Source organism: Homo sapiens, chromosome 9 (genome assembly GCF_000001405.40).
Source record: "Homo sapiens chromosome 9, GRCh38.p14 Primary Assembly".
NCBI classification, from domain to species: Eukaryota; Metazoa; Chordata; class Mammalia; order Primates; family Hominidae; genus Homo; species Homo sapiens.
The window spans coordinates 121,111,332-121,124,856 of NC_000009.12; the positions used below are offsets into that span (position 1 = coordinate 121,111,332).

A 13,525-nucleotide genomic window follows, 5' to 3' on the forward strand; every position below is an offset into this window, starting at 1 on the left:
TTTAGTGCAATAACATATGTAAAATGCTTAGCACAATGTCTGGCACACATTGAGTATTTGGCTCAATGTTACCCATTATCTAGGCTATTACTTCCATTTTGATGGATAATCAGGAGGTGACTGTGAGCTAAATCATGCACGACTTTGATTTCCTGGGCCTTGTAAAATGTTTGTGTTTGTTTATGTTTTATTCTCTTCAGCTTGCACTTTTATATTAATGAAATTTTTCTGCATGTTTTTTCTTTGATATCTACCATCAGATACTGGCCAAAAAAAGACAAAAATCACTTAGTGGATCTTTGAAATAAACTCAAAGTTTGGTTTAGTAGAAAGGAGCTAGTACTAGTAGTTAGTTAATAAAATATTTAGTTTCTGACACTGATCTAATATGTAACTTTAGACAAGTCAGTTCATCAATCTGAGACTTAATTTCTGTATTTATAAATTCAGAGAATTAGATTGGATCATTTGTCTTCTCCAAGCTCCAAAAATTTCTAAGAATAAAAAGTTATAGTAGAATTACTTTATTAAAATTGAATATTACATATTTGGATCTGGTTGAGCTTATTCACATCCCTTATTCTTTATTACAAAGAATAATATTCTGAACACTTAATACTACAGCAACAACAGTATGACAATTAAAACCAAGCTCTTCTTTTCATCCTTCTCATTCCTCTTTATTTCTCTGCAGTTAATGTCAGTTATCATTTTCCCTTGTAATTTGAAACTATTGTTAAAGTCGGAAAGTCAGTTTAAGAAATTAGTGCTAATTATTGGAAAATCAGGAAGCAGGTATTTATTAGGCCAGTTACACAAAAATAATTGATACAAAAATATTTTCATGTTTAACAAATTTAAGTGATTTTTAAAATCATTATTCATTATATCGTGAAGCAGCAGATAAACTTCAAAGGTCTTTTACATGATCTCTGATGAAATAATAATTTTGTATTTCATTTTTTATAATTTAGAAGTAAGATAAAATGTTCTGAGTGTTGTGCAGCTTACTGTGAAGTTTTTAAACATATATGATTATAACTTACGATGAGAACTTACCATATCATCACACCTTTATACTAACTTACTGATCCTGTATGTTGTCTCATATCAAATTGGGCCAATAGCTAAAACAGAAGACCATAGAATTAACACGAGCATGTCAGAAGCAATATGAGCTGGAACAGGAATTGGCCTTTTATAAAATTGATGCTAAATTTGAGCCACTAAATTATTATCCATCAGAGGTGAGTTATTTTAATTTTTTAGTAATCCAAAGTTAAAGCCCACATGGGATGGAATGGGGGAGGGCAGGTGGTGAGGACATGTAAGGGATTTGATCAGATATCACTCCACTTTCTTGTTATGAGAGGATTAAACTGTATTTTGGTTCAATCTATGACTTATTTGGCTCCGGGAGTTAGAACAGAATCCTAAAGAGGTAAAAAACTTCAAAAGAATCTTTGCCCATAGCCATATCCATTACCAAAAGCAGTCGTCTAACTCGCAGCTATCTTTCCCAGGTGTATGGGTTGATCAGCTCCTTTAAATCCAGACTTCTGGGAAAAGTGCTTCAGTACCATGGAATAGTCATCCCCTTACATGGTTTGTTCAGTAATTACTGGGTTCAGTATTAATCAATCATGACTGGTACAAATGCCATAAATGTCACTGCAAGTGAGGAAATGCCAAACTTCTAAGACCCAGTGATTCCAACCAATATCATATGATATTTCATTTTTAAAAATTCAATTATTAAAATATATTATACTGATGGCTACACACCATGTATCTGAAAAAAATATTAGACTGAGATTTTATTTATATGAGCCAAGAAACCAAAATAAAACACCCATATTTCTAATTTGAGAGATCAAGCAGTGCTAAAAATCACATAACTGTAGGCAGTTCTTTAATCAATCAGTCCAAACTTTCACTCTTCTGTGGTAAGAGGAAGAATTCTTTTGAGACCATTTTTAGTTCTAATTTCCTTTTTTGGTATATTAAGAAGAAGATAAAAGAATAATATATATCTTTCAGCTCCTAGGCATGTAGAATTTATATAAACTTGAGCAATTCTGTGATATGTTTGCCACTAATAAAATGAATAATGTCATTTGACTGCTTGGAGATCACTTATTAAACCATAAATCTATTATTTTGCTTTTAGTATGCTGAAATTGATAAAGCCCCAGATGAAAGCCCTTACATTGGCAAATCCAGATACAAGAGAAATATGTTTGCCACAGAGAGTTATATTATTGACAGTGCTCAGGCAGTACAGATCAAGAAGATGGAGCCAGATGAACAACTTAGAAATGATCACATGAACTTGAGAGGCCACACACCACTGGACACGCAACTGGAAGACAAAGAAAAAAAAATAAGTGCAGGTTAAAAAAAGTTATTTTAAATTCTTTAAAAAAAAATATGAAAACATTGAATATGTAGGCCAATTTTGTTTTATAAGTCTTTTAATTGAACATGTTGATGGTATTGTTTCCATGAAAAGTCTAAAACAAAAGTAGTGATTATCAAGCAGATTTATCGAGCATTTATTTTGTAATGATTCCTGTTATGGTTAAGAATGGAGTTTTTGGCAGTAATTTGATGGCAGCATGTCCAGGGGATTCAAGAATGAGTAAATCCCCTCCTTCAAATAAGCACTGGAACTATATATTCGAAGTCACAATTAGTAATAACTGAAGCAAGTAAAGAACCACTTGATTGATTACTATGCATGTAGCAAAAACCTAAAGCAATGCTTTGTATAAGCTGCAACAGAGCATTCTCCTCAGGCCTGGGCCGAAGGCTAGCCTCTGACTTTTCCTGACATGCCCCATGCCCCACAATCTAATTCAAGGGATCTTAATACCTTCTGGCAAGTCACATAAAGGAATAAGTCAAGGCAGGGGGACACTTTAGAGACCCTGCCAATGACAGACTTTGAATCTATTTACCCACTCAGCTGCATGGATATGGAAGAAAGAGAACTCTGACCAGGGTTTGTGCATCCCCCCAGCATTATGGCCCACTGTGGTGCTCTCAGTCAGACCAGCGGCTTATCTTTCCTTGACTGGTAGCTAAGTGGAAGGCATGGAAGGCAAATAGAGGTTGACTTGGTGAAGGAAGAAAAGAAACTGAGTTATTTATGTCTGCGTATACTATATGCAAGGCTCTGGGGGAAAGCAAAAATAAATCAGATTTTTATGCAGACTAGCTTTAAAGGGGCTGGCTCATAGTTTTATAGGACAGAGGGAGAGAGAAATCTTAAATTTGAGGTTGAAAATAATTGATTTGAGATCATCAACAGCTGGGAGAGAGAGCTCAGTAGTGAATTTCTTGATATTGAATTCCATCATAAAGCATTTGCCTCTAACACAAGGTTTTATGGGTTATTTTTAATATCCTGAACCTAATTATAACTTAGTAACATGTAAAGTGCATATTTCCCAATAAAAGTCTTATTCTCTCAAAAGGGTTTACTAGTGTTGGGAATAGCCCCTTTCATGTTGAGAATTTTACAAATAAAAGGATCAATTATAGTTCTATACCATATAATGAAACAGTTTATTCTAGAGATTAATAAATAGACAAAAGCGATCATAAGTAATTACTTTAAAATTTTTTTGTGAGATATAATGACAGTTTAATAGAGCAGGGAGAAGGTTATTACAAAGAAAGAATACCTGGTTGAAATTTCAGAATTCAAGATTTTTCTTGTTTCATATTATGTGAGCATGGTTTTTAAATTTGCAGCACAAACTCGACTATCAGAACTGCATGATGAAATAGAAAAGGCAGAACAACAAATTTTGAGAGCTACTGAAGAATTTAAACAACTGGAAGAAGCTATACAACTAAAAAAGGTATGTAAAAGCAAAGCAGCAATGCTAAGAGGAAATGAAAAATGAAATGTGTTTTTCCCTTCATAACCATATAAAACAATTTAAAAAGCAGTTAGCTGCCTAGTTAATTATGGAATGATAAATTTCAGAGTCAAATATGGTTCTAGAATTTGCCAATTGTAATTTTCTTCCATTTATGATGACATCCAATTAGCATTTTATAACATGTATAGAAATAAATTACTTAATTTTATGTAAAAAGGTGTAGTCTTGAGAAGTTGCTTCCTGATCTATCTCTTCTATTTTAATTAAGCACTCTCCACCTTTAAGATCCTGGGACTTAGATTAAGAACCAGGAGATATCTCTGCTATAGCATGAACATTGTCATCAAACACAAGCCAAAAAAAAAAAGAGATATGTGGTATACAAAAAGATTGATGTAACATATTCTCAAAAATTACCAAAGTGTGTTGTAAAGTAAGCGAGTAAGCAGCTCAAATCCATGATGTAATTGCATAGGGGCAAAAATTCAAGAAAAGGAAGTTGCTTGACATTTTAGTTTTTAAATGGGTAAAAAGGTTTTAGTTATTTGTAACTTTTAAAAATCAGTATTTAAAAATTATGATGGTAACTACATTCATACCACAGTAGGTAGAACAACAATGTGAAGTCCAAATTGTAGATTCTTTTAAAAGATACACTGTATTGTTACTTTCAGATTTTATACTAACTAGAAATTGACTCAAGTTTATTGGAACCTTACTATATGTCAGTCACTGGGCTGGGCGCTGATTAATGAACAAAATAGACATGTGTCCCTCTCATGGACAGACTTGTGGGGGAAATAAGGCAATAAACAAAAAGGAAAAAAAATATTTATTTAAAAAAAAGGAAAGAAGTTAAAAAGCATCAGTGTTGTAAGAAAAAAATAGAAAACTAGGGGAGATGTTAAAAGAGATATACTTTAGATTGTGGGGATTCACAAAGGCCTCTCTGAAGAGGTGACAGGCTAAGATACAAAGGATGAGAAGGAGCCAGTGAGGCAGAGCTGGCGGAAAGTATTCCATGCAGAGGTGACAGTGTGCACAAAGGCCTTCAGACTAGAGATTTCTCTGCAGAATAAGGGAGAGTGTAGAGGAAGATAAAGAGTCTTGAGGTTAAAGATCATGCCAGGCTTCATAGGCATTTTTTTATTTTTTATTTTTATTTTTTTGAGACAGGGCCTTGACTCCTGGGCTCAGGTGATTCTCCCACCTTAGCTTCCAGAATAGCTGGGACTACAGGCATGTGCCATCACTCCCGGCTAATTTTTTATATTTTTTTGTAGAGATGGAGTCTCACCATATTGACCAGGCTGGTCTTGAACTCTTAGGCTCAAGCGATCTGCCCGTCTTGGCCTCCTAAATTGTTCATAAGCCATCTTAAGAAGTTTGAATTTTATTTTGCATGCAATGGGAAATCTTTGAAGGGCTTTAGATAGTTGAGTGGCTGATCCTATTTGTCACTTTGCCTTACTTCATGAAGAGTGAAATGGACTGAGTGAGATGGAAGGGATGTGTGCATCTGTATCTGTCAGGAGGCTGTTGTTCAGTACAGGCAAGAGATGATACTAGCACCAACCAGGAAGGTGCTGGTGGATGTGGAGAGAAAGCCAGCTGATTCCAGGAAACACTGGACAGTAGAACTGACAGGACTTAATGATGGGTTGAAAGTAGGAGATGAGGTAGAGGGAGCTATCAAGACGGTTTTACTAATTTAAAAAGAATTTTTTATAATAGTACTGGCCAAAGCTTTACATAGATTGATAGATGTAAATAATGTACTTAATTTTAAAAGAAATAGATACTTCCAAAATATGCTTGGAAAATAGTTATTTAAATGAGTTAACATTAACAGTTAATAATTAATAATAAAGTTAATAGCCTAAATTTTTGTTTATACTGTTCACTTACTTGACATGCTAACAAAGGTAAGCTTCAGCTGGGTTCTGATTCAGTGAAATAAAAATCTCAATTTAATAAGAGTTTGCTGTATTTTGAAATTATTTAGTATGAGATGATTGTCCAGTGAACACGGAATTCTAAAATTTTTTCCTGATTATAAAGGTATTGCAGTTATGGGGAATTACATAATAATCGTCCATATTTTATTTCTTTTCAGTCTTTTATCTTCATCTTTTTTACACTTCTATACAGACTCTTGAGAAATTTTTATATTTGTTTAAATCTCTATGCTAAAAACTGTTAGAAATAAGAGATAGAGTATTAAGTTATTACTTCTATGTCAATACTCAATTTATTGGTTGACTATCTTCATATTAAAACTAATTAGGTAACTGTAGCGTAGTAGTCAGTGAAATTGTCTAGAGTCACACAAAGTCTTGCTTCCACAAACTCCTAGTATGACCTTGGGCGAGATATTTAAATTTTCCATGATTCAGTTTCTTTATCTATAAAATTGGGATAATTATACTTTTTACTTTATATGTTTTGAGGATTAGATTAAAGGATATAAAGAGGCTGGGCATGGTGGCTCATGCCTGTAATCCCAGCACTTTGGGAGGCCGAGACGGGTGGATCATGAGGTCAGGAGATTGAGACCATCCTGGCTAACATGGTGAAACCCCATCTCTACTAAAAATACAAAAAATTAGCTGGGCGTGGTAGTGGGCGCCTATAGTCCCAGCTACTCGGGAGGCTGAGGCAGGAGAATGGCGTGAACCCGGGATGCAGAGCTTGCGGTGAGCCGAGATCGCGCCACTGCACTCCACCCTGGGCGACAGAGCAAGACTCCGTCTCAAAAAAAAAAAAAAGTATATAAAGAGTTTAGAACAGTGCATGGCCCATAGTAAGTGCTATATAAAGTTGGCTATTATTAATACTATGTTTATTATTAATAATTTACAAGTTGCCTATACTATTATAGAATGACAGCTTATTTGTGCTTGCTATTATTAGTTTTCATAAACTTTTATAAAGTATGATTTTCTACATATAAGCATAAAAATATAAAATATGCATGGAGTGCTTAGATAACTCCCACATTTCACTTTTATTTTTAAAAAACTGATAGAATATAGAATACTTATTAAAATTATAGACATTGTCTTAATAAATCAGTGTTGTTCTTCTCTGTTAATTATATATTGGGGTTTGGGGAGATTAGATTTCAGAAGCAGGGAAAGACCTTCTTTACAAGCAGTTGAGTGGTAGACTACAACTTGTAAATAAATTACGCCAGGAAGCTCTGGATCTAGAACTGCAGATGGAAAAGCAAAAGCAGGAAATTGCCGGAAAGCAGAAGGAGATTAAGGACCTGCAAATAGCCATAGATAGCCTGGATTCCAAAGACCCAAAACATGTGAGTAAATTAAGAAATTTTGACTTGTTCTGTCTACATATTACATGTCTCATCATTGTTAGCATCAGAGTCCAGAGTCCTTTCTGAAAGTCTGTTTTAGTTTGATGTACAAATTTAAGTGATATATACATACAGTCAGCCCTCCATATCCATGGGTTCTGCATCTGTGGATTTAACCAACTGCAGATCACATATATTAGGAAAAAAAAGGATGGTTGTGTCTGTACTGAACATGTACAGACTTTTTTTCATTTGTCATTATTCCCTAAACAAGACAGTATAACAACTATTCACATAGCATTTATACTGTATTAGGTATTATAAGTAATCTAGAGATGATTTTAATATATAAGAGGATGTCCATAGGTTAAATACAAATATTATGCTATTTTATAGAAGGGACTTGAGCATCAGTGGATCTTGGTATCTGCAGGGAATCCTGGGATGAATCCCCCATGGATACTGAAGGAAAACTGTACATATATGTGTGTATATATAATGTATGTATGTGTATATATATGTGTATTATACATAAATATATGTGTGTGTGTGTGTGTGTGTGTGTGTATACACACACATATATGGAATGTGTATGTCTAAAACAAAACAACCTAGGGCTTGAAGAAGGTAGCTTTCAGTAAATGATGGCCGCATGGTATATTTATTTTTTTTTAAGTGGTTGAATTTCATTGTATTGCAGAGCAAGGGAGATTTGCTCCTTACCTTTCTCTCTCCTTGCCTTTTTTTCATCTTTCTTTCTCTCTCTCTCTCTCTTTTTTTTTTTTTTGCTCTGTCGCCAGGCTGGAGTGCAGTGGCGCAATCTCCGCTCACTGCAACCTCCGCCTCCCAGGTTCAAGCGATTCTCCTGCCTCAGCCTCCCGAGTAGCTGGGACTACAGGCACCCACCACCACGCCTGGCTGATTTTTGTATTTTTAGTAGAGACAAGGTCTCACCATGTTGGCGAGGATGGTCTTGATCTCCTGACCTTGTGATCCACCCACCTCAACCTCCCAAAGTGCTGGGATTACAGGCGTGAGCCACCATGCCCTGCCGAAGCGATTCTCCTGCCTCAGCCTCCTGAGTAGCTGGGATTACAGGCGCGCACCACCACACCCAGCTAATTTTTGTATTTTTGGTAGAGATGGGGTTTCTCCATGTTGCTCAGGCTGGTCTCAAACTCCTGACCTCCTGATCTGCCTACCTTGGCCTCCCAAAGTGCTGGGATTACAGTCATGAGCCACCATGCCCAGCCCTTCATCTTTCTTAAGAGCAGAAAAAGCTGAAGGGGGTTGCGAGTCCTTTTTCTACCTCTTCTATTTAATCCTTTTTGCAAATTTTCCACTGAACGTATTTGTTTTTTCATACTGTTTTGTTTTGTCCTTAAAAAAGGAAACATTCTCTGGAATGTTTCTTCCTGAGATATGGCTAGATATGGTCAGGTGGCTGGATACAGCCAGGCTCTTGTCTCTGTCTCTACTCTAAGAAGTTGTACTAATTGCTTATATTTTAGCTAATATTCCTAAAATACAAGGAAAAATATCTTCTACATATTCTCCTGGTATACCTTGAATAATAGGGGTTTTTTTTTTAAAGAACTTTAAGATCTCTGGATTAATAGAAATCATAGAATTTAACATAGTAAGGATATTGTAATTGCTTTAAGTACTTGACAAGTTGTTTAACTGTTCCTTTAAGCATTTTAGTACATATCATATATATTTTTTTGTGGGCCAGCTAATTTCAATAAAGGATAACCTTATGACAGATATAAGGTCTTTTCTAACAAAAGCCTAAAAATTGAAACCAAGGTATTAATATTGAAACCAAAAGTAGTCTTGATTATTTTAAATAATTTTGAGGAAAAATGGGGTATTTTAAGTAATGTATAATGTGGTCAATAATATCTTACTTTATTGCATATGTTTGTTCAATCTCCCACCCATGTAAGGTCCCTGAAGACATGAACTCTATCCTACTGGTATCCGTATCCCCAGGGACCAACCAGCCCTATGTTTATGAATGCTTGCATTGTGGAAGGGAGGAAGGAAGCAGCTTATAGATCCTACCCAAAACTCCTTTGCTTCCCCTTCCAGTTCTGTGATCTATGAGTCTAATTAGTAGCTGGATTATGTGTTTGCTTTCAACAAATGACTGTTATATTTCTGGCGGACAGAGAGTTCAATTCCCACTGGATTTCTGTAGAGAATTATACATGGAAAGGAGGTAAATGAGACATGGGAATGGCATCCAAGTTTTGAAGTTAGCTAAAATCAACCTGTGCAGTGGGGATGAAACATACAAACCAGATTTGAATTTCCTTTTTAATTTTATTAAAATTACTAATAGTTCTTAAGTTTGCAGCCTTAGTCCTAGCATCAGAGGACATCTCTTTTAAGTTTATCCAGCGGGAACATCTTTTTCTGATTCACAAAGTTTCATATTGGCTAGTGTTTGGCATCCCATTTTAGGCTACAAAATGTGAGCCTTTAAGCAGAAGAGAAATAATCAAGAGTGAGATGCCTGCATATTTTTCTATAGATATAGGTAGACTTTTATTTAATTAATTTTTATGTAATCAGATGAAGTATCTTTCTGAATAGCCAATAGAATTTAAAAGTAAAAGCTTCACTTTGATGAGATATTATAGAAAGCAACATATTAAGTGCCCACAATGTGTCATACATTGTGCTGTATTTTCCATGTTCTGGTGAGGAACTTTTATTAACATCTATCCATTTTTCTTTCAATTTGCAGAGGATGAAAATGTGATATAGAAATATTAAGTGAATTGCCCCTAAGTTATTGTTTTAGAAAGAGGTGGAGCCCTTGCTTATGCTACCACAATGACCCTCTCTTCACAAAGCAATTAAAGGTCTAAAGAGATTATTTTAAAATTAGCTCAGAACTAAGCCTAGGCAGGTTTTCAGCAAATATAAGCATTTAACTAGGTTTCAAATTCACAGACTATTTTAGTTATAAAATTATTCATAGAAGCACAAATTATCACCGGAGCAAACATAATGAAGATTTGTATTGCTTTTCTCTATTGGGAAATGTCCTATTGGAAGCAAAAGGTAACTGTTCGCTAGAGGGAACGAGCTGTAGTGATCTGTTGCAAAGTTTGGGCGTGATTGGCCCCTGGGAGCTTCCTGTGTTATGATTTAACTCGCGGAGGGTGGGGCCTGCCCGCAGAGGCTGCTGGTGATTGGATGGGCGGGGCCGCCGCTCACTCTTGGCCAAGAATGTGGTTTGAGGCTCTGCGAAGTTACAGAGGCTCGGAGGCGCTTGCAAAAATGTGGCTGTCAGAGAGGGAAGTGCACATGAATTTGAAGACAGCATTAGAAAGCGTTCCGCCCACAGTTTCTCTGTTCTCAACGGCTCAGTTTTAACAGGATAAATTTTAAGTTAAGGTATGATATTTTTTCTCTCTCTGTACAAAGGACTTAAAAGGAGGAGGAGTCAGAGATGTAAGTTCCTGTTTTTACAATAACTCTTTTGTGAGCTCCACCGTGGTGTAAATCGCAGAATCTACTTTTGTTCCCATGTATTTAATGTACACCATTGGCATATTGAACCAGATTTTTATCCTGCGTATAAAGGTTTTGGTGGAATTTTTAATGGTGAATTTTAAAGATTTATTGATATGAGTGCAGTCTTTTAAGAAATTATTTCTTGAGCCATAAAAACCCGAAATTTACTTAGAATGTAAGCTGTTATATGTAGTTAACTTTTCAGAAAGATTTCAAATGGGTATTTTGGGAGTGTAGGGAAAAGAGTTTGCAAAATACCATAAAGCTTTACCAGTAGTAAATTAAAAACCTTCCAGTTAAGCTGCCACTCTTTTGTTCATCAGAAATGAAGAGACGTTTCTTTCTTGTATTTGGGGTAAGCAAATACATAAAATTGAGTAATATTCTTTTATAATCACATGGGTCTTAGACTTGAGATCATTGGTGTTCATTTTTCTGACTGATACAGTTCCCTCTTTCGATAACTTTCTCTTCATTTATTGTTGTATTCCTCTGATCCTGTGGGTACCAACTTAAGAGTCATGAAGGTGTGAGTGGGAGGGCAAAGGTTCTCTGGGGAATTATTTTGTCTCCATATGAACAGTTGCCTCAGGAGACATGCAAGTCATTTGATGGATCTGAAATTCAGTTTTCTCATGTTTAAAAGGAAGGGTTAGACTAGATCATTGGCTCTCGATTTGCTTTCCCTAGCACACCTGAGAAATACAATCCATTCTTTTCAGTTAACAGTAGTTCCCTGATGCCATGACTTCAGGGTGCGGGAGGGTGTGTGGGTGTGTGAAAGCTCTGTTTTCCACCATGGGTTAAGTGTAGTTGTAGAGGGGTATACCTCCTTAGGGCCCTCCATTTTGAGACTCACCGGGCTAAGTGGTCTTTGAGGTCCCTGTCAGCTCTCAGTTTATTGAAAAGCCAAATGTTTGTTTGTGTAAGAGATTGAAAGTGAATTTGAATTTCAAGTATTTTATCTATTTCATACCTCTATTTTCTTCTAAGAAACCTTTTTTAAAAAGTAGATTTAATTTTTTTATTAAAAAGGCATTACTTATCTACTATAAAAGTTTTTTAAATATAAAAATACTCATTACAAAAGGAAAAAATCCCCATGTAATCCTTCCACCCAGGTATAATTCTTGTTAGCATTTTGGGATATAGTTTTTAAGTCTTTTTCTATAGATATATGCCATAACCAACTAATTTTGGAAACCTTTTTTAAAAGACACATTTTAGGCTGGGCACGGTGGCTCATGCCTGTAATCCCAGCGATTTGGGAGGCCAAGGCCGGCAGATCACTTGAGGTCAGGAGTTCCAGATCAGCCTGGCCAACATGGTGAAACTCCCGTCTGTACTAAAAAAAACAACAAAAAGTAAAAACAAACAACAACCTGGGTGTGGTGGCCCGCACCTGTAGTCCCAGGTACTTGGGAGGCTGAGGCAGGAGAATTGCTTGAACCCAGGAGGCGGAGGTTGCAGTGAGCTGAGATCGTGCCTCTGCACTCTAGCCTGGGTGATGGAGTCAGACTCCATCTCAAAATAAATAAATAAATAAATAAAAAAGAGAGAGAGAGACAATTTAATGCAACGCAAATAACACTGACCTACCTAGCTGTGCCCTTGGAAAAACCACTTAACCTCTTTGATCCTCAGTTTTCTCACCTGTAAAGTGGAAATGATTTCCGTATCAAGTTATCCTGAAATTTAAATGAAAACTACCCATGTGAAAACAATATAGGGCCTGACACAAATAGATGCAAATTATTATATTTATTTTCTATTCTTCCTTTAAAAATGTTGTTAAGGGTTATTACTTTTAAAGGAGTTTAAGGAACTTGGAGTTTTGTTGATTTTTTTTTTTAATTCAGTCCCATATGAAGGCTCAAAAGAGCGGTAAAGAACAACAGCTTGACATTATGAACAAGCAGTACCAACAACTTGAAAGTCGTTTGGATGAGATACTTTCTAGAATTGCTAAGGAAACGGAAGAGATTAAGGACCTTGAAGAACAGCTTACTGAAGGTAAGACTTTCAGTATGATTTAAGGTAAATCAGTGTTATTGCTGGTAAAAGAAACATTATAAAGACAAGCATTAATCCAGATAGTAGCTAAATACAGTTCACCTATTAGTACTAGTATTTGATAGGGAAATATTTACAGGATACCCAAAAGTAGTTAATGCAATTTTAAGAGTTTTGTTTTTGTTTTGTTTTGTGGCATTGATGCCTAGTGAGTCAGGTCATTCCAGTCAGTAGGCCAGAAGTCAATACGTGATCATGATAAGCTCTGGCATGTGATTGTCTATGACATAAAATCCATTCAGGAGCAAAGCACCCATTGGCATCAGGGAATTCAGTGTCTGGTTATAAGAAGAAAGAGTTTTAGGATCTAGTTTTGCAATGCTGATTTAAACTGCGACATATCCATAATAGTGGAAAAGGAAGACAATAGGCCATAGTGGTTTTTACACATAGGGCTCAGTGTAAAAAGATCCTGCTCTCTGTTTTGCTACTGTCAGCTGTGTCGCCTTGGACAAGTTGTTTTTATCTCAATCATTAGTTGTTGGGAGAATTAAATGAGCTAGTATTCATAGGCCAGGAGTGGTGGCTCACGCCTGTAATCCTAGCACTTTGGGAGGCTGAGGCGGGCATATCATTTGAGCCCAGGAGTTCGAGATCAGCATGGGCAACATGGCGAAACCCCGTCTCTACAAAAAAAAAAAAAAAAAATTAGCCAGGCGTAGTGGTATGTGTGCTTGTGGCACCATCTGCTTGGGAGACTGAGGGTGGAGGA

The 13,525-nt window shown here is 36.0% G+C and overlaps 1 protein-coding gene across 43 annotated transcripts in view, besides 3 other annotated features; it reads left to right on the forward strand.

Moving 5' to 3' along the window:
- The window catches only part of CNTRL (centriolin), a 102,656-nt gene that overhangs the window by 36,377 nt on the left and 52,754 nt on the right, over positions 1–13,525 (forward strand). For 25 of the 43 annotated variants that reach the window (XM_047422667.1, XM_047422671.1, XM_047422669.1 and 22 more), the window contains 5 exons: positions 1,128–1,247; positions 2,171–2,393; positions 3,760–3,869; positions 7,015–7,209; positions 12,600–12,753. In XM_047422667.1, the coding sequence (XP_047278623.1) occupies positions 1,128–1,247; positions 2,171–2,393; positions 3,760–3,869; positions 7,015–7,209; positions 12,600–12,753 (802 nt within the window). Of the gene's footprint in view, positions 1–1,127; positions 1,248–2,170; positions 2,394–3,759; positions 3,870–7,014; positions 7,210–10,438; positions 10,621–12,599; positions 12,754–13,525 lie in introns of those variants that run through there. The other 18 variants (XM_047422670.1, XM_047422681.1, XM_011518168.3 and 15 more) reach the window with 4 other exon arrangements.
- Positions 10,084–10,585: an enhancer, noted in NCBI's record as "NANOG hESC enhancer chr9:123883693-123884194 (GRCh37/hg19 assembly coordinates)". NCBI's record gives its function as "activates a minimal SCP1, AML or CMV promoter by ChIP-STARR-seq in naive H9 embryonic stem cells {active_cell/tissue: H9 hESC(naive)}" and the evidence as "EXISTENCE:reporter gene assay evidence [ECO:0000049][PMID:30033119]".
- Positions 10,460–10,509: an enhancer, noted in NCBI's record as "active region_28916". NCBI's record gives its function as "activates an Ori minimal core promoter by ATAC-STARR-seq in GM12878 lymphoblastoid cells {active_cell/tissue: GM12878}" and the evidence as "EXISTENCE:reporter gene assay evidence [ECO:0000049][PMID:35858748]".
- Positions 10,540–10,739: an enhancer, noted in NCBI's record as "active region_28917". NCBI's record gives its function as "activates an Ori minimal core promoter by ATAC-STARR-seq in GM12878 lymphoblastoid cells {active_cell/tissue: GM12878}" and the evidence as "EXISTENCE:reporter gene assay evidence [ECO:0000049][PMID:35858748]".